Source organism: Homo sapiens, chromosome 12 (genome assembly GCF_000001405.40).
Source record: "Homo sapiens chromosome 12, GRCh38.p14 Primary Assembly".
Lineage (NCBI taxonomy): Eukaryota > Metazoa > Chordata > Mammalia > Primates > Hominidae > Homo > Homo sapiens.
The window spans coordinates 87025176-87045317 of NC_000012.12; the positions used below are offsets into that span (position 1 = coordinate 87025176).

The window sequence follows — 20142 nt, forward strand, 5'->3', positions numbered from 1 at the left end:
ACTATAAAACACTGCTGAAAGAAATCACAGATGACACAAATAAATGGGAAGATATTTCATGTTTATGGATTAAAATAATCAATATTACTAAAATGGCCATACTGCCCAAAGCAATCTATGGATTCAATGCTATTCCTAGCAAGCTACCCATATCATTTTCCACATAACTGGAAAAAACTATTCTGAAATTTATATGGAACTAAAAAAGAGCTCAAATAGCCAAAGCAATTCTAAGCAGAAGGAACAAAACCATCACATTACCTAACTGAAAATTATACTATCAGGCTGTAGTAACCAAAACAGCATGGTACTGGAACAAAAACAGACAAATAGACCATTGGAGCAAAATAGAAAACCTAAAAATAAAGCCACACATCTACAGCCATCTGATCTTAAACAAAGTTCACAAAAATAAGCAATGGAGAAAGGACTCTCTATTCAATAAGTGGTTCTGGGATAGCTGGCTAGCTATATGCAGAAGAATGAAACTGGACCTCTCCCTTTCACCATATACAAAAATTAACTCAAGATGGATTAAAGACTTAAATGTAAAACCTGAAAATACAAGAATAATAGAAGAAAAGCTAGGAAACACCATTCTGGACATCAGCCTTGGAAAGGAATTTCTGACTAAAGTCCTCAAAAGCAAGAGAAACAAAAATAATAACTGACACATAAGACATAATTAAACTAAAGAGCTACTGTATGACAAAGGAAACTATAAACAGAGCAAAGAAAAAACTTACAGAGTGAGAGAAAATATTCATAAACTATGCATCTGACAAAGGTCTAATATCCAGAATGTATAAGGACCTTAAACAATTGAACAAGAAAAAAATAACCCCATTAAAAATGGGCAAAAGAGATGAAAAAACATTTCTCAAAAGAAGGCATACAAGCGTTCAACAAATATATGAAAAAATGCTTGTCATCACTAATCATCAGAGAAATGCAAATCGAAACCACAATGAGATAACATCTCACAACAGTAGGAATAGCTATTAGTAAAATGTCTAAAAACAACAGATACTGGCGAGGCCGTAGAGAAAAGGGAACACTTATGCACTCTTGGTGGGAATTTAAATTAGTTCAGCCACTGTGGAAAGCAATCTGGAGATTTCTCAAAGAGCTTAAAACAGAAATAACATTTGACCCAGCGATCCCATTACTGAACATATATTCAAAAATATAAATTATTCTACCCAAAAGACACATGCACTCATATGTTCATCACAGCACTATCCACAAAAACAAATGGAACCATAAAAAAGAATGAGATCGTGTTCTTTGCAGAAACATAGATGTATCTGGGGGTCATTATCTGAAGTGAACAAATGCAGGAACAGAAAACCAAATACCACAAGTTCTCGCTTATAAGTGGGAGCTAACCATTGGGTACATGTGGAAATAAAGAGGGGAAAAAAAGCCACTGGGGACTACTATAAGGGAGTTAAAAGAAGAAAGGCTTGGAAAACAAACTATTGGATACTATGCTCAGTACTTGAGTGATGAGATCAATTATACCCCAAACCTAAGCATAATGCAAGATACTCATCTAACAAAAGTGCACCTGTACCCCCTCAATCTAACATAAACGTTGAAATTATTCAAATAAATAAAAGAAGAACCAAAACACAAAAAAATAGATTCCTGTCCCTCAGAAAAGACCTAATAAATCAGAAACTCCGAGGAGAAGGCCTAAGAATCTATATTTTGGCAAGGTCCTTCAAGTAATTTTTAGATACTCTAATATTTGACTTATAAATATACATCAATATGGTAAGTGTAATTTGCTTTGTGACCATGATCGTTGCCTTCTTAATACTTATTTTTCATGTATGTAAAATAAATATGTCAAAGTCATTTCTAAAACTAAGCAAACAAATCAATCAATAAATAAATGAATAAGCAAGGAAATTGTGCATGCATGCATGTGTGTGTGTGTGTGTGTGTGTGTGTGTGTGTGTGTGTGTGTACATATCCAGTCACTAACATCTCCTCCTAAAAATAACTACTATCTCTATAAAATAGTTTTGGCTGTTTCAGTTAATGAACATATCATATAGCATAAAGTATTTGTGTCTCATTTCTTTCATAGTAATGTGCTTGTAATATTTGCAATGTATTATTTCTTTAACAAAGTGGTGTTACATGAGCATGATTAATTCCGGATATTTTCCAAATTGTACAATTAAGATTATAAATTTTTTAAATTTAGAAAAGACTTCCACAATATGTTTCTGTAAAACAATAACAAATTGTTGGTAACACAGAGTAAACATGGAAGACTGAAAATAAATCTAGAATCATACAGTATATTCATATTATTGGATGCCTAAATGTCAAAGCAAGGAGGGTTTGCTTAGGCAGTCAAAAGGCACTAATGACATTTGATAAAAAAGTAGTCAACAAAGATCACCACATGAATTATAAATATCATGCGTAAGTTTGAGCAACTTATATGAATAGTAAATGTTTACAGAATGAATGAATGACAATATGAAAATAAATAAATAATAGTGCAATGTTATAGAAATCCTAAATTAAGGAAAAAAAGTTTTCAGAAAAAAATAGTGCAAAACCTTAACAGCATATATCAGACATGAGGTAGATAAATATAATTTTTTTACAAAAGTGAGACTGATTTCTATTGCATTTGTGCATGTGACAAACATCATTTTGTAAAAGGGATGTAGTACTCCGTTATCATACTGCTATGAGGAAATGCTCAAGACTGAGTAATTTATAAAGGGAAAGAGGTTTAATGGACTCATAGCTCCAAATGACTGGGGAGACCGCACAATCATGGCAGAAAACAAAAGAGGAGCAGAGGCATGTCTTAGATAATGGCAGGCACGAGTGCATGTCCAGGGCACTGCCTTTTTAAAACCATCAGATCTTATGAGACTTATTCTCTGTCAGGAGAACAGCACAGGAAAAACCTGCTCCCATGATTCAATTACCTCCCACTGGGTCCCTCCCATGGAGGATGAGATGAGATTTGGGTGGGGACACAGCCAAACCATATCAAGGGGAGACAGCTTTCATTGCAAGTGGAAAATTTTAGTTTTTATTGCTTGAATCTATGATCCATTTGGAATGAAGAGCCTGGAGACATCCATAGAAAAAAGGACCATAATTGAAAATTTCCTTTTTTTAAAAAAGCACCACAAAATTAAGTAAATTTCCTTCTGATGAACATTATAGAAAGCAGAATGGCATGACCATTTTTGCTTCTCTATTAATTCTTATAATTTATTGATTTATGCAATAGAAATTAGGACCCAACTTTCAAGAGTAATAATAAAAGTAAAAACATTATGGAATTCTATATTAAAAGTTTAAAATATAGGCATTTCTCACTAGGAAGATTTCTCAGTGAGTAGTGATTGGGAGCTGTGATAGAGTGCAAAAATAAAACACAATTGCTTCCAATATCATCCATCATCATGTGAAATTGTTTTAACTCCTTGAACAACATGTACACTTGATAAAACCAAACTGCCAATGTAAAAACAAAATCGTATTTTACTCACTTATTTTTAAGCGACAAGTCGTCTATTACATATTTTTACTGAGTAATATGACCTAAAAGCAAAGCTCTCAATGATACAGAAGAAAAAGTAATGCTTGTATTGATTTTATTGGTCTGGTAGCATAATGAAATATTGACTCTAAATCAGATTTCAACTGATTCTCTTTGCATTTCTGTATTAGTTTGTTTTCATGCTGCTTATAAAGAGATACCCAAGACTGGGCAATTTAAGTCCATTAAACCTCTTTAAAGAGGCTCCACATAGCTGGGGAGGCCTCAAAATTATGGGGGAAGGCAAGGAGGAGCAAGTCACAACTTATGTGTATGACGGAAAGCAAAGAGAAAGATCTTATGCAAGGAAACTCCTTTTAATAAAACTATCAGATCTCATGAGATTTATCCCCTATCACAAGAACAGCAAGATTCAATTCAATTACCCCACACTGGGTCCCTTCCATGACATGTGGGAATTGTGGGAGTTACAATTCAAGATGAGATCTTGGTGGGGACACAGCCAAACCACATCATTCCATCCCTGGCCCATCCCAAATCTCGTGTCCTCACATTTCAAAACTAATCATGCCTTCCCAACAGTCCCCCAAAGTCTTAACTCATTTCAGTATTAACTCAAAAGTCCACTGTCCAAAGTCTTATCTGAGACAAGGCAAGTCCCTTCCACCTATAAGCCTGTAAAATCATAAGCAAGCTAGTTACTTCCTAGATACAATGAGGGTACAAGTATTGGGTAAATACATCCATTCCAAATGGGAGAGATTGGCCAAAACAAAGAGGTTACAGGGCCCATGCAAGTCCAAAATCCAGTGTGGCAGTCAAATCTTAAAACCCAAAAATGATCTCCTTTGACTCCATGTTTCACATCCAGGTCACATTAATGTAAAAGATGGGTTCCCATCGTCTTGGGCAGCTCCACCCCTGTGGCTTTGCAGGGTATAGCCTCCCTCCAAGCTTCTTTCATGGGCTGATGTTGAGTGTTCTCAGCTTTTCCAGGTGCATGGTGCAAGCTGCCCATAAATCTACCATTCTGGGGTCTGGATGACAGCAGTCCTCTTCTCACAGCTCCACTAGGCGGTGCCCCTGTAGGGACTCTGTGTGGGGGCTCCGACCCCACATTTCCATTTTACACTGCCCTAGCAGAGGTTCTCCATGAGGGCCTCACCCCTGCAGCAAACATCTGCCTGGGCATCCAGGCATTTCCATACATCCTTTGAAATCTAGGAGGAAGTTTCCAAACCCAAACACATGACTGCTGTGCACTTGCAGGCTCAACACCACATGGAAGCTGCCAAGGCTTGGGGCTTGCACCCTCTGAAGCCATGAACTGAGCCACAGCTGGAAAGGATGGGATGCAGGGCACAAAGTCACTAGGGTGCACACAGCTGGGGGGACTGGACCAGGCCCATGAAATCATCTTTTCCTCCTAGACCTCCTGGCGGATAATGAGAGGGGCTGCTGGGAAGACCTCTGACATGGCCTGGAGATATTTTCCCCATGCCTTTGGGGATTAACATTAGGCTCCTTGCTACTTATGCAAATTTCTGCAGCTGGGTTGAATTTCTCCTCAGAAAATGGGATTTTTTTTTTCTATTGTACTGTCAAGCTGCAAATTTTTCACTTTTATGTTCTGCATCCCTTACACAACTGAATGCCATTAGCAGCACCTGAGTCACATCTTGAATGTTTTGCTCCTTAGGATTTTCTTCTGCCAGATACCCTAAATAATCTCTCTCAAGTTTGAAGTTCCACAAATCTCTAGGGCAGGGCCAAAATGCCTCTAGTCTCTTTGCTAAAACATCACAAAAGTCACCTTTGCTCCAACAAGTTCCTCATTTCCACCACAGACCACCTCAGCCTGGACTTTATTGTCCATGTCCCTATAAGCATTTTGTGCAAAGCCATTCAACAAGTCTCTAAGAAGTTCCAAAATTTCCACATCTTTGTATCTTCTTCTGAGCCCTCCAAACTGTTCCAATCTCTGCCTGTTACCCAGTTCCAAAGTCACTTCCACATTTTCAGGTATCTTTTCAGCAACGCCCCACTCTACTGGTATGAATATACTGTATTAGTCCCTTTTCACATTGCTGATAAAGACACGCCCAAGACTGGGCAATTTACAAGAGAAAGAGGTTTAATGGACTTACACTTCCCCATGGCTGGAGAGGCCTCACAATCATGGCAGAAAGCAAGGAAGAGCAAGTCACATCTTACGTGGATGATGGCAGGCAAAGAGAGACAGCTTGTGCAAGGAAACTCCTGTTTTTAAAACCATCAGATCTCGTAAGACTTATGCACTGTCATGAGAACAGCATGAGAAAGATCTGCACTCATGATTTAATTACCTCCTACTAGGTCCCTCCCACAACACCTGGGAATTGTGGGAGTTATAATTCAAGATGAGATTTGGGTGCAGACACAGCCAAACCGTATCAATCTCCATTTCTCAAAAGTCTTACTATGTATGTTGAGTGTAAACTTTTTTTTTGTTTCCATGTCAAGCTTAAAATAGTTATAGTGAACTAGAATGAATGGTTAGCTTAACTTTATCTCAACATTAAGCTTTTGCGAATGGCTAAATTCCTGTTTGGAATGCACTTCTCTTGCATCTGTTTGGATCTTACAAGAAGCAGAAACCAAGACAGAACAAGATGCCAAAACAGGACATGATTTGGGGAAGGTAGGGTGGAAGTGACTGTAAATAATAAAAAGGAAAAAAAAAAACAAACAAACAACAAAAAAACAGGAGTAGTCAAGTACACCTTTCAGTCTGTGAAAGGAGATAAAGAAATAACTCAGATTGGAAGCACCTCAGGAAAAAAGTATAGATCAAAGTTTTTTCCAGAGAGATGGGGAATCCTCATGCAAAATTTTCACATGGGGATCTGTTTTAGCAAGGAACAGGCTGGCCTAGGTAATCTACCAAGTTCAATCGTTGATAGGGAGCAATTCAGGGAAACATTTCCTTGGCTAGAAATTGGTAGTAGAACCAAAAGGGAATTAGCGGGGGCTATTATTCATTTCTACTCCCCATAGAAAGAACTCTTGATGAGATCTGAGTATCTACAATACTGCCAAAGTCCACTGTTTACCCCACACAAATCCACTTCTTTATGCAGGCTCTTTATGCAGATTCAGGGAGCAGCTACTCCATGGTTCCTGTGGGACTCACTTGTTATGGGAAAAAGTAGAAGTGAGAGGTTAGTGGAAAAAAGTACACCCCCACATTGCTACAGGTGGACTTCAGTCCTGAGTATACTCAATGGTCGGTATCATTTTTGAGTGTGAGTATCCAATTGATACTCTTCTTCTCTCTTTCACTATCCTTTTAAAATAGCCCTCACCCTTTGCTATCACCTCAGCACCTAGTGATGTGATGCCAATCTTCATTTCTGAGGCAACTGAGCTCTTTTCAGCCTGGGGTTGCAGTACATATATTTCACAGTTACAGTTAATCAAGGGATTACACCAAAAGGCACCCACATAGATTACCTGGGTTTTATACACATTTCTGCATGCCTTTCTGCTGTTCACACTTAATTTCTCTTGCAAAGATGGTAATTCTCCTTTTAGTCCGTTGGTCCCTGGGCACAAGGAGGTCAAACTGCCTTGGCAGCAGCCATAGTTTTAGTTTCATGTCAGGCTGTATGTTTTGACAATAATGTGCCTCTTATGAGGGGCAGTAGTTGTGGGGACAGGTAGCAAAATTTCCTCCAATAGACCATTGAAAGTGACAGTAATTGCGGTAATATTTGATTTTAATGGTTGGTTTTTGGACCTATGCTTTTTTCTCATTAGGAAGACATGTTTGATTAAATGTATACACCATATCCAAAAAAAGTCAGCTCACTCATTCACAGTATTTGCTCTAAAGTGATGCTTCAGCTTTTCTTTCCATAGGCTTTTCCAGTGACCTATGATGTAGGATGCTTCTGAATAGTGCAGTGTGTGATATAATGAAGGGATTTTATGGATGTGGGTCTCATACCCATAACTTCTTTGCTACCAGGCAGGCCCTCTGGCCAGATGCTATGCTGTGCAGTATCACATGGCTGTGAATCAGATATGCCATAAGTCCCTAGATAACAGTGTTGGCTGAAGCTCTGCAGGAAGAAAATGTAAACCCATACCCAGAATAAGCATATGTCTCAGTGAAGATAAACCACTATTTTAGGATTAAAGAAGCTCAATTAGTCAACTTGCTAACAAGCGGTATTTGTCCTCAAGGGATAGTGTCATATGAATGTTTCAAGATTGATCTCTATTAATGGCAGGTTGGACATACAGAGGTTAAGAAAAAGATAGAACTACTTTGATAAGTAGAAGTCAAAGCTGATGGACCCACGCATAACAACTGCGCCCAAATGCAGCCTACTCCATTCATGTGCCACCATCAAATGCACAAGTAATTTTGTTTACTCCTGTTTTTCTGTGCCACTTCTGCAGTTGAATCTTTCTAGTTGGTGTTAACGTGATATGCCTAGCTTTTCAACAGTACCTCAGATATCCTTGTCCTCAGGCTTCAAATTTCCCACTTCAGGATTCTAACTAAAAACCCATTTTTAACTGCTCATGAATGTAAATATTCTAACCTAAAATCACATTTCCTTCCACATGAAGTAAGTGATCAGCTCCACCCACTGGGAAGATTTTCTCTTCTTATGTGCTTTTCCTGTTAACCCTAGATGTGTGTGTAATACAATCACTATCAAGTTTAAGGATTGCACTTGTATATTGAGCTGACCCATCCCCAAATCAAGTTCTTTCATTTTCCTCCTTCTGATCACATGGGACTCCTGTAGGTTCAGAGGTGGATCTGGAACAGAGATGTTGACATAGACCTTAGTAAGTGATACAGAGTTCTGGGCCACCTGCTCATGTAGCTTATTCATGCCCTCTGGTCCTCTTGGACCAAATTCTAAATCTACCATTTTCATCTGATCGTGGAGTACTGCTGGGTCCATCTGACTTTATGATTTGGAAGTTCCCAAGAAGCCATGCTCCTAATGAACAGTTCTACCATGCTATGGTTTGGATATGGTTTGTTGGTCCCCATCAAAACTTATGTTGAAACTTTATCCTCAATAACATGACTTTGGGAGGTGGGGACTAGTGGGAGGTGTTTGGGTCATGGAGGTAGATCCCTCATGAATGGCTGGGTAGTAAGGGAGTTGTCACTCTCACAGATTAGATTAGTTCTCTGAGAATAGACTAGTTCCCAAGAGAGCAGGTTGTTATAAGTCAAGTTTCCTCCTCATATTTGGCCCCCATTTGCATGTGTCTGCTTCCACTTTGACCTTCTCCACAATGTCAAGACACACTACTAAAGCCTTCACCAGAAGCCAGGGCTATGCTCTTCAATGTCTCAGCCTGCAAAAGAGTGAGCTAAATAAACCTTTTTCTTTATAAAAATGACACGGTTTCAGGTATTATTTTACAGCAATACAAAACAGACTAAGACACACAGTTATGGTTGCTTAGTGCCTAGTGGTCAAACATTTCATTTCAGTGTCACATTAGGACCTGCTTCTCAAAAAGTATAGAATTCTCCACCACACACGGTGTGGCCACGTTTTAAAATTACAAGGGCTTTTATTCTGATTCTCAAACGATGGCTTGCCATAAACTCCACACTGCATCCTTTCCAGCCCTTACACCTCCAATACAACAGAATCAGTCAGATTATGTGGTTCAGGTGGCAGAACTGCTTTCACAACAGCCTGAACCTGCTGCAAAACACTTTCGTGCTCTAGACCCCAGTCAAAACAAGCAGCTTTTTGTTTCCCCAGTATATGGGGCAAATCGGTATATTCATAGGTGGGAAACATGTTGGTAATATAACCACAAAAATCATACTAGCATAGGGAATAACATTTGTCTTTCTTTGATACAAATATCCTACCATACCCTCACCATAGAAACCCTAAAATAAACTTCAATTATGGGAAATGTTTCCGAATCTTCATGGGGTATCTTGCACCCCCTGAATTGTACTTGTTTACCAAGTCTCCAGTGTCCTAGCGCCTTCTTACTGCCATTATGTTCTGTCTGATCAGCATGATACCACTGATTTGATGGGCCAACATGATGTTCTGTGGTATGTCTAGGCAATGCACATACCGTTGGACTATATTACACAGGAGTATAGGAAATTAGCTCTGAGGTCAAGCTGTAAATTAAAATTGTTGTCTATTCTACATGAATGCAAACTCCTTATCCTCTCTTCTAATCAAAATAGAAAATAAATCACTTTCCATATCAATGACTCAATAACATGCACATAATCCCTTATTAATCCGTTCTTGTAATGATTCTATGAATACTACAGCATCTGCAGTTTGGGATATTTGCTTCAGCTTAATAAAACTGCTCAGCTGCAAACTTTTCATGAAAAAGGAAGGATCACTCAGAGAGAAGAGTCAAGATCCCAGAGGGGAACCACTGCTATGAAAATAAATGAAATATTTTTGGTCAAAGTTTCCAGACCAAGGTAATAAAGAAAACCTATAGCTGTAACTACTTAAAATTGCTTAACTATATATTAATAGATTGAGAGAGGAAATAGAGGGATGGAGGAGGGTGATAGAGAGATTGTATGCATGTATCCATATATAATTTTCAAGAAAAATAATTGTCAAAGATCAATCAAAGAGGGACCAGAAAAGAAGATGGTAAAAACATGAACTTAATGGCTGCCCTGTGGGCTATTATCAGGATCTCTATCCTACAGACTTTTGTTACATGTTGTTTGCTAATACTCAGTACCTTCTCACTCATTTGAAGTACTTTTTAACAGCATAAAGGATCAAAAAACCTGAAAACTACATTTCTCATACTTCCTCTCCAGTAGGGTTCTGGACAGTGTCATATAATTAAAAGAAGTGTCTTTGGACATGAAGATATGAAAGTGAAGTTTTTCTAAACCTTCTGGGTACCCTCCTATGAATCAGCATTTTAGATTGGTAGGAACAGATTCTAGCCCTTCCAATATGTATGAAAAACCTCATTTACTGTACTCAATATCCTTGTATTTAAAACATTTACACCAGTTTTTGTTTTCTTAAATAATTGATAACTGATACAATATTTGGTTAAGAAATGTGACTCTTGATAGAAATCTATGATTATTTATTTAATTTGGTTAAAATTAAAAACATAAAAAAGCTGCCAAAAGACAATGACATGCTGGTAATTCATGACAGATAGCTTCAGTTATAAAACCAATTATTTGACTCATCATCTTTCCGAGAAACATTTTTAGAGACAAACTGGTTTTTGTATTAGAGTATTATGAAGAAAATAATGATTATAAATACAGTTGGGTTAGCCCAGTCTTACTGCACTAGGGAGCTTATGAAAAGAAAATGACAGACTCAAGATGTGAAATTCATAAGTCAGAGATTAGACAATTTCTTTACTGCCTAGGTAAGATTTCTTATCTATTGCAAGCACAGGATCAGTGATCAGAAAACTAGACCTAAGTTTGATCTTAGAGTTTGCAGAATTATAGCCCATGAATTCAAAGCATCCCCAGGTTTCTTACTGAAAATTAGAATCTCTTATTTTCCAAGAAAGTGGGAGCCTTAAAATTGGATTGAATGTAGTTGGGAAGATTCTAATAATTATTTAACACTTAAACTCTTAACAAAGGTAATCTTTCCTCCTCTGTTTGTGGTGGTTTGCCTCTCTGCTCTTGAATACCCTGAAAATACTTGACTTGTGAAGGTTACATTGGAGCAGGGTGATAAATCCTGGGGATTATGTATGAGAATGGATTCTAAAAGTGTTAGAACAGGGAGGAAATTGCACAACACTTGATCAGGCTGAATTTATAATGATGGCTTAAATTAAATGAAGATACAAGGCCAAAATATAAAAGAATTTATTGAATCTTAGGTGGGTAGGAATCTGAGCATTTGCCACATGTGACAGGCTCAACTGTAGCCCAACAATGTAAATTTGATGACTTGTAAGATAGCCTTATCAAGCATATATATATTTCTATATATAAATATATAGAAATAAAGAGAGCTCCAGCATTTGTAGAAAATACAAAAAACTGCTATATTATGAAAGGCAAACATTTTGGTGGAGATGTCAGCATTGAAGTGAATTTTCTGGGCTTTAGGGTTTGAGGGTGATGAGATCCTGGAATCATAGAGTACAAGTGACAGCACCCTATAAAATAATAGGGAACAGGGCAAATTATGGTATTCAATGATATGTTCTATTGACAGTATTATCAGTGGACTATCTAGTAAAATATTGCTCAATCTGTATACTAAAAAAAAAAAAAAATCTAGATCTGGTGGAAGAGTTTTAACATAAGTCATCGTAATAGAGAATCAATGTCCCACATTGAATTTCCAGACTTGAGCTTGCTCATACATGTGGAGTCTCTTGAATGATATAAAAGCTGAATCACTTTTAGGAAGGATCTTGATGCACTGAAACAAGTATGTACTTAATTTCTCCTCAACTTTCCTAAAGTATTCTGTAGCATTTAAGGTGACAACTGTGCTGGGAAAAAATCCCAGACAAAACAGGATTCCTGGTCACAGCTAAAAATTTACAATAATCCCTGGATACCTCAACTGCCATTTTGATCTACAGTCACAGAGGAAATGTATGAGGGCCAAGTGATTGATAAAGTCATGGGATGAATCTATTTTATAATGGATATGGATGATTTACAAATATACCCTTTGATTTTCTCCCAGTTCCTGAATACAAAGTTGAAAGTAGCCTTACTCAGCAACTGGTTAAATGGATAACTGGTCCTGAGACATACAAAATAAGGGCTATGTGGTAGGATGATCTAAGTAGAAACCACTGGATCTGCCACTGCAGAGCAAAATAGTAAACTAAAAGCGAATATTGCATTCCTGGGGTAATTGTTGAGAATACTACAATCATGGTGGAATTACAAAATGCCAATCATAAAATCAAATTTTTAAAACAGTGCAAGAAAAAAATCCGATTAAGTACAAAGCAATGACAATTAGATCTATATAGACTTCTCATTAGCAATATGCCAAAGACTATCTAATAATACCTTTAAAATGCTTAATTGAAATAAATGTTAATCTAGAATGGCGTATGTGGCTAAACATTCATGAATGGAAATGAAATACAGATGTTTTAAGCAAAAAAAGTAAGTAAATGAGTTTATTACCTAAATGCCTTAACAAATAATACTTCTAAAGAACGGCATTTGGGCAGAAAGAAAACATAATAAAAGAAAGGTTTAGAAACAGAAGGGAATGTTGAACGGATTATTTTGTGGAGGGCAATTTTATGTGATCTCCTAAAGCTGAGAACTGAGACTATTTTTCCTATAATGCTAAAAGCTCTTCTCTTCTAATGTGAGCAACTGATGTGAAATGAGCACATAAATGTAAAAAGGAGACAGTCTCTCTTATCCAATGGAATATCAAAAATACAGAAATCTGTTTTGCCATTTAATTTCACACAGTTTAATTTTCTATACTTTTCTTCACTTACCATGGAACCCCGTGGTTTTCATTTCTATGTGCTACCGTAAATGACAGATTACTTCTTAGCATTGTCACCTCATCTTAAGTTTTATAAATCTGTATGTGGCACTTTGCTTCACAGTGGTGCTAGTTGTAATACTTCCTTTGGCAGGTGTTTGAGCTAGAATCACTTTAGCGGAATCACTTAGTTTTCACTGTGTATATCTCTAAACCACAATAACACAAGAAAGCCAGCATGCAAATAGCCAATGTTTTCCCCCAAATTTTGTCTTTTCATAGGTTTTGGCTTATTCATGTTCATATTAAATTTTTTGCCTCAAATGACTATGCAAACTTCATTTTTGACAGTTCTTTCCTAGATGATCATGGTCTAATTTTTGTTCCCTTTCTTTTGATTATTTCAGGTATAAATGGCACTTGATAATTTTATTTTTACTACTTATTTGTTATGTATAATAACTTTCACCTAAGTATAGAAAAATGGAACTTACAACAGGTGAATATAAGGGAAACAGTTATATCATGTTGCATTATAAGCTAATAATTTGTTTTTTTAAATTCTTCAAACAAAAGGAAATATACAGTCCTGTAAAATACTTCACACATTTAGCCACATATTTTACAACATGCATTTCAAGTTGACCGTAATTCTGTTCTCCCAAGTCTAACTCTATTTGCAAACGATTCATTTCTTATCACCTTTTCAAGTTTGTTTACCATAATCCTTATTTTAATTAAATAAAAATCACAACCCAGTATTACTTTGGCCAGAACTGGTATTCAGATGAAAACAAAATATGCACATTTTTGTCCCAGGGCAGTGTGAAATATATCATTGTTTGACAGAATACCTGCTAATTGTTAGGATAGCTTGGGTTACGGATAATGGCAAAGTGAATATTTTTAAAAAAGGCTATCTGACCTGGGACTTATTATCTTCGAGAAAATGTTCAGCTCTGTCATTCCAAAGATTACAACTAAGCAGTGCAAATTGGTCAGTATCTCAAGGGGGGAAATATGTATGTTTTACTGTTAGAAGGTCAATGTTATCGTCTTTTTAGCAGAAGGATAGCAAAATTATAAAATGAAGGAGGCCTTATTACATAAAGTTTTGGTTGGTTTCACAAACTGTAAGTTTTCAGTAATTTGATGGTATAGTTGCATAATTATAATAGTGTCTTAAGTTGATTGCTTTGGAAGATGGATTATGATGTATCTGAGTTGAATCCTTTAGATAAATTCCATTAATTTGACTTGCTGAACACCAAAGGCCATGTAACTTGAGATTAAGAAGGCATTATGATACCAGTTATTATAGTTTCTTCCAAGATATATACCACTTCATTTACTGGAAAGTCAAATACTAACCAGGAAAAAGGTCAAGATGTAACAGAAGTAATTATTTTCACTTGCACAAGCACTAATGAAAGGATGAACGTAAATACCATATCTCATTCTCTAGCCACACTGTGTTGCAGGGCCATAGTCATATATCTGAAATGACACATTTCCAGATATTTCACACAATAAGGTCCTGCACTATCAGCTAAGTTATTAAGTCACCTCATAAACTTCTTACATGAAAGATATATTGAGCAGTCCATCTTTGATACAGAGTATTTGGGATTGAAATATCAGCATGCATCCTGATCCCTGATCTTTGGACTGGCTATTAATTATATTATACAGATAACATTTTTTCCCACATGCTCACAGTGCAAGTGTGTTTTTTTAAAAAATCAGAGATGTATTATTGAATGACAGTATTTGAATAGCATCTAAAATTATAGAACTCTTTGTATAATCGCACCCTAGAAAGGGCAGCTCTTTTTTTAATGCCAGTTTCATACAGACATGAGAACAGATTTAATCTTCAAAGTTTTAATCAAACCTGTGGGATGTCCTTTAACTAGCTTTCCTTACTTGTCAAATTATAGTTCTCCTTTATTATCCTTGGAGAGTAAGATACTTGATTCCTGTGGTTCTTAATTGTCTCTTTCCAAACTACTAAGGAAAATTAAAGACTTTTCATATCACTAGAAAAATATGATGTAGGCTAGCTTGACTAATACATATGAACACAGTTTAAAAAGAAAGCAGAGCAACAAGAGTAAAACATCCATTTAGAATGTGCACAATTTAAATGCTACGTTTAATATGTGTGCTTTAATAGATTGCAAAAAGCCATATCATCTGTATAATATATTATCTTAATTTAAGAATTATAGGCATTTTTACAAATGTCCTAACATATTATTATGTATTAGGGCATGGCTTTCCTAACTATTGTATTAGAATAATTTATACAAATTTATATTCCAAATGTGTGTCACTCTGAATATTATAAATCCCAATATTCTCTATGGTCAATGAGAATTATTAATAAAATGATAAAAGGGTACTATGATGATTATATATTAGCTACTAAGAGTTTGATCCAGATTACTTCCAATATTTTAATATAAAATCACTTTTGCTCTTTTAGTCAGAACAAATGGTATATGGTTTTGCCAAATTAGATATCTCTTCTTTTATGCATCTTTATTGTTTTATATTTATATATGTAAATTTATTCATTCATACAATGTTTATTTCATAAGCAATAAAACAGATACTGTTCCTTATTTATAGAGCCTATATTTGGGTGAAAATAAACAAATAATAAGTAAATAAACAAGATATATGAAATGACCAATCGTGAGAGATTGATTTAAAATAAGTGAAATAAGGAGGGCAGATGGAGAAATCCAAGGATACAAACCCCTGATAAATTGATATTTGTACAGAAATTTTTAAAAGGAAGTGAGTGGATCACACTACACTTTAGGCAGAGGAATTGACAATTAAATGCTGCAAACTGGAAATATACACAGGGTGATCAACGAAGAGCAAAAAAGCAACATGGATGGAAAGTGAGTGAAGGAAGAAGAAAATGAAATTAGTTGTGGGAGTAACAAAAGGCCCAGACTTTCTAGAATGCAGCTGGGCATGTTAAGGAATTTGAATGTGATTCTAAATGAGAAAAGAAGTTACTGGAAGTTTCCAAGCAAAGAAATGACATTAGCTGACAAATATTCTAAGGCATATTTGCTGCTCAAGGTAGGGGTGGAGGTCAAGGGAAGTGTCTGAAGGCCTTTGACAAAACCTAAACCAAAATGTATGGTGGTTTAGAACATGGAAATAGTGATGGAAACAATGGGCATGGTTGGATTAAGAATACATTTTGAGTTAATAATAGTGAGGTTTGTTGATGTATTTAATTGAGGATATGGATGTGGGATGAGAAAACAGAGGCATAGCATAGAAAAAGACCTTTCAAATTTACGAATCCAGTTAAATGCATAGTCAACTTGGAACACAGGTAGCCTGGCTTTGGGCCAGCTAACCAAATCATGCTAATAGAGACAGGACATCATCACGAAGAGGGCAGCTGAAGATAATGAGCATACATATCTATCAGAGTTAATGCATACAAAAAATTCTTTCAGTTATTTTAATTTAAATGAAAAGTATCATTTAAGTCTAAACATATCCAATGTCTACCAATATATGTCTGAGTAGTGTGTAATTTTGTTTTCTCCATGCATTCAGTTATTAAACATTTATCACATGCAAGAAACTCTATTGAAACTTTAATAGATTTTTTTAAACCCAAAGAAGGAAAATCTTACTAAAAGAGACAAAATACATCCTTGATTGATTATTGACATTAAATTGAATGTTTAATATGAGAAATCATAGAATATACCAGGTTATTTGAGTAACTCAATCTTGATAGATAACTCCATGACCGAAGAGGGGCTAAAATTCTTTTGTATACTTCTGGAAAGCTAAGGATTTGTAGCAGACAGACTGCTAAAATTGTCATGAATGATCTTTACGTCCTGGTATTCTTTCCCTTGTGTAATTCCATACCCTTGAGTGTGGGCTGGAACTAGTAGTTTGGTTCTAATGACTAGAACACAGTAAAGGTGATGGGATGACACTACTGATATTAGGTTACAGGTGACTAAGACTTGCATATATTTGGAACCATCTTTCTTGAACTCTTTCTTGCCCACTCACTTGCTGCTCCAATGAAGCCAATGTGAGCTGCCTGATTTGGAAGATGTCCATTTGGTGAAAAATCGAGGAAAACATTGTGCCACAAGTTCAGGAGGAACGGAGACCCTCAGTTCAGCAATCAGCAAGTAACTATTTCTGGTGAACAACATGTTAAGGAAATTTAAAATTTATCTACCACTAGTCAAGTAGTCAAGTCTTAAACTGATTTCAGCCCCAGCCAACACCTAGACTGTAACCTTCAGAAGACCCAGTCCTGGGACCCATGGAAGCCTCATCTGGACTCCTAATCCATAGACACCATGAGACAATACTGTTTTTTTTAAGTTGCTAAGTTGAGGGGTAATATGTTATGCAGCAATAGATTACTAATTTAGGCTTTGTGTATTTCCTCAGCAACTTCTGCAGAAAAAAATAAAAGAAGCATTTTTAGTTACTCACCGCTGAAACTTTCCCTAAAACCTAATGACTGAAAACAACAATCATTTTATTATAGCTCATAATTTTGCAGGCCAAGCATTCTGGAAATTCTCACTGGAATGATTTTTCTGCTTCAAGTAGCATTGACCAGTGTCACTTGGTGACATTCAATGCGTGGTGTGGTCTGGAGAGTCTAATATGACTTCTCTCACATACCTAGCTGTCTGCTGATGATGATAGAAAAGCTGGACTTACCTGGGGGCTGTCTTCCTTTCTGTGTGCTCCCCAAGATTCATGATATCTCTGCAGGAAGGTAGTTGGGCTACTCACAGGGAGACACAGGGCTCCAAGTAACAGGAAGAGAGAGCTTCTGGTCCAAGGCAGAAACTAAGAGCATTATTTCTGCTGTATGCCATTCCATCCCATTGTTCAAAGAAGATACAGGGAATACCTCAGCATCACGCTGTCAATGGAAATATATTAAAGAATTACTAGACAACTTCAATTACCCACAAATATTTAGGAATACTAAATTTCTCCAGAAACAATGCGGACTACTATTTTTTTTCTGTCTCAAAAAAAAGTTATTTTGTTTTGTGGAGTCCATATAGGTCTGGAGACTACAAAAATGGAAGAACTATAATAATTTAAAAACCTTTCATCACTTCTGTGACTAAAATTTAACACCCACTTTGGAATCTTTTTCAAAATTTCTTTATAGTTTGACTCCATATCCCTTTTGGAGGGTTATTTCTACGTAAAGAGATATTTGTAAATTAGATAGAACACGCAAAGTTTACATACATGTGATCTTGCCAAATACAGAACATAAACATTCAAATTATCAATATTAGTCTGAAAACCTACTTTAAAGTACCATTTGATCCAGCCATCTATCAGTGATCAATAGAAATATTAATAGCCTAAGTAATTATTTATTGCCTGTGGCCAATTCTAGGTGCAAAGCGACAGTTATGGTCTATGGTATTGATGTACAAAACTCCCTATATAACTTCATACTTTATCAAAAGTATTATGTAACAGGTAAAGTCAGCCCCACTTATGCAAAATAATCCATCAGTTGTCCTTGGTTGGAGGTAGCTTTCCTAATTTCTCTGATTGATTTTTACAAAACTTAGAATATCATGTAAATATTTCTATTTTCACCATAAATTGTGGGACTTTATCTAAAACTATTTAGGCAGAGGACTCCAAATATCATTCCTATGCTGAACATAGACCCCAAAATAAGGAAAGACAGTTCTAAACTTGTTATAAATAGAGATCATGCATGCTACAACATCATTTTTACAGATTAGTAACAGAGCAACTTTAATTTCTTGTTTCTTGACCCTTGCTAACATGGTTTTGAAATCATTCAGAAAACCCTCCTAGTAAGGAACTTGGGAAGCTATACTGCAGCTGTCAGATGACCAATTGCATGGAAAATTGAAATAGATGGGGAAAAGTATTTCCACTGAATGATTTTCACCAGAGTGTGGTAATCACCTTGGTAATGTTTGGCTAATGCCCTTCTTTTCTCCATTACCTTCCATCAACTTCCATCATGCTTCACTTCCTTTCCAAGGCTCAGGGTGTCTCTCACTCCTCCCTATACCAATTTCATTTGGTACCAGTCTATTTCACATAATTCCAACACTTTGTGCTCATCAACTTAGGCTATATTTCCAAATATCTTACATTATAAGAAAGCTAGAGCACTATTTCATTTCCTCATTCAGGCTTTGAATACATCCTCAAAATTAATGAACAAGGGAAGAGCATATAATAAGAAAAAAAATACCTAAAACCAAATACAAAAATTAGAAATGCTCATTAAAATAATAGCTCAAATAAAACATACAAAGCAAAGAAAAAATTCACCAATTCTAGTTAACTGAACACATCAGAGCAAGGTTATATGAGAGAGTAGATGGCAACCTGTTGATCATTTAGACTTGATTTCAAACTGCCCATTTTATCTTGTAAAGTCCATAGGAGATCTTAGGGAGTATTAAAATCCTTGGTCCAAATACTGTAATATAAAAAATCTCTTCAACCCTAAAAGAGTTGTTTGAAGATTGTGTTAAATTTAAATTACCAATAGAGAAGTCTTATTCACTACAAAATTGACTCATTGATCAAACATCTAATAAGTACATAAATAAAGGTGCCAGAGAAATATGTTTGGTTTGAGAATACAAAAATGAACAAAACGTAATCATTATACCCTTAAATCTTACAGTCTACTGTGAGATTTAAATTATATTAGAAATATGCTACATCTGCATTTGCTGATGTTTTATAATTATTAAATGTAATTATTTCTTGTTTTCTAAATCAGATTTTAAACCTCAAGAGTAATTATTTTAAACTGTACGCATATTGTATATCATGACACTCGTCTACTTCTTCAAACTATCAGGATACATTATCTATTACAGTACAGAAGAGAGTGAGAATCTGCAATTCCCTTAACCTCCCTTCCAATATGTATCTGAATTGGAGTTTTCCAAGAAGAGGAAATCTCTAGAGATTTGAAAGATTAAGAAAAAAGGATCCATATTTTCCCCCAGTGGCAGTAGCAAGCTTACTTTTGGGCAGGATTAAGATTCA

General features: G+C 36.0%; 1 long non-coding RNA gene across 2 annotated transcripts in view; it reads right to left on the minus strand.

The window, feature by feature from the left end:
- Positions 1-16740: 16740 nt before the first annotated feature.
- LOC105369878 (uncharacterized) overlaps positions 16741-20142 on the minus strand; it is a 145625-nt gene continuing 142223 nt past the window's right edge. For both annotated transcript variants that reach the window (XR_001749241.1, XR_945158.1), the window contains exons 2-3: positions 17782-17989; positions 16741-17244 (exon numbers count right to left, since the gene is read on the minus strand). This is a non-coding gene — a long non-coding RNA (uncharacterized LOC105369878). The remainder of the gene's footprint in view (positions 17245-17781; positions 17990-20142) is intronic.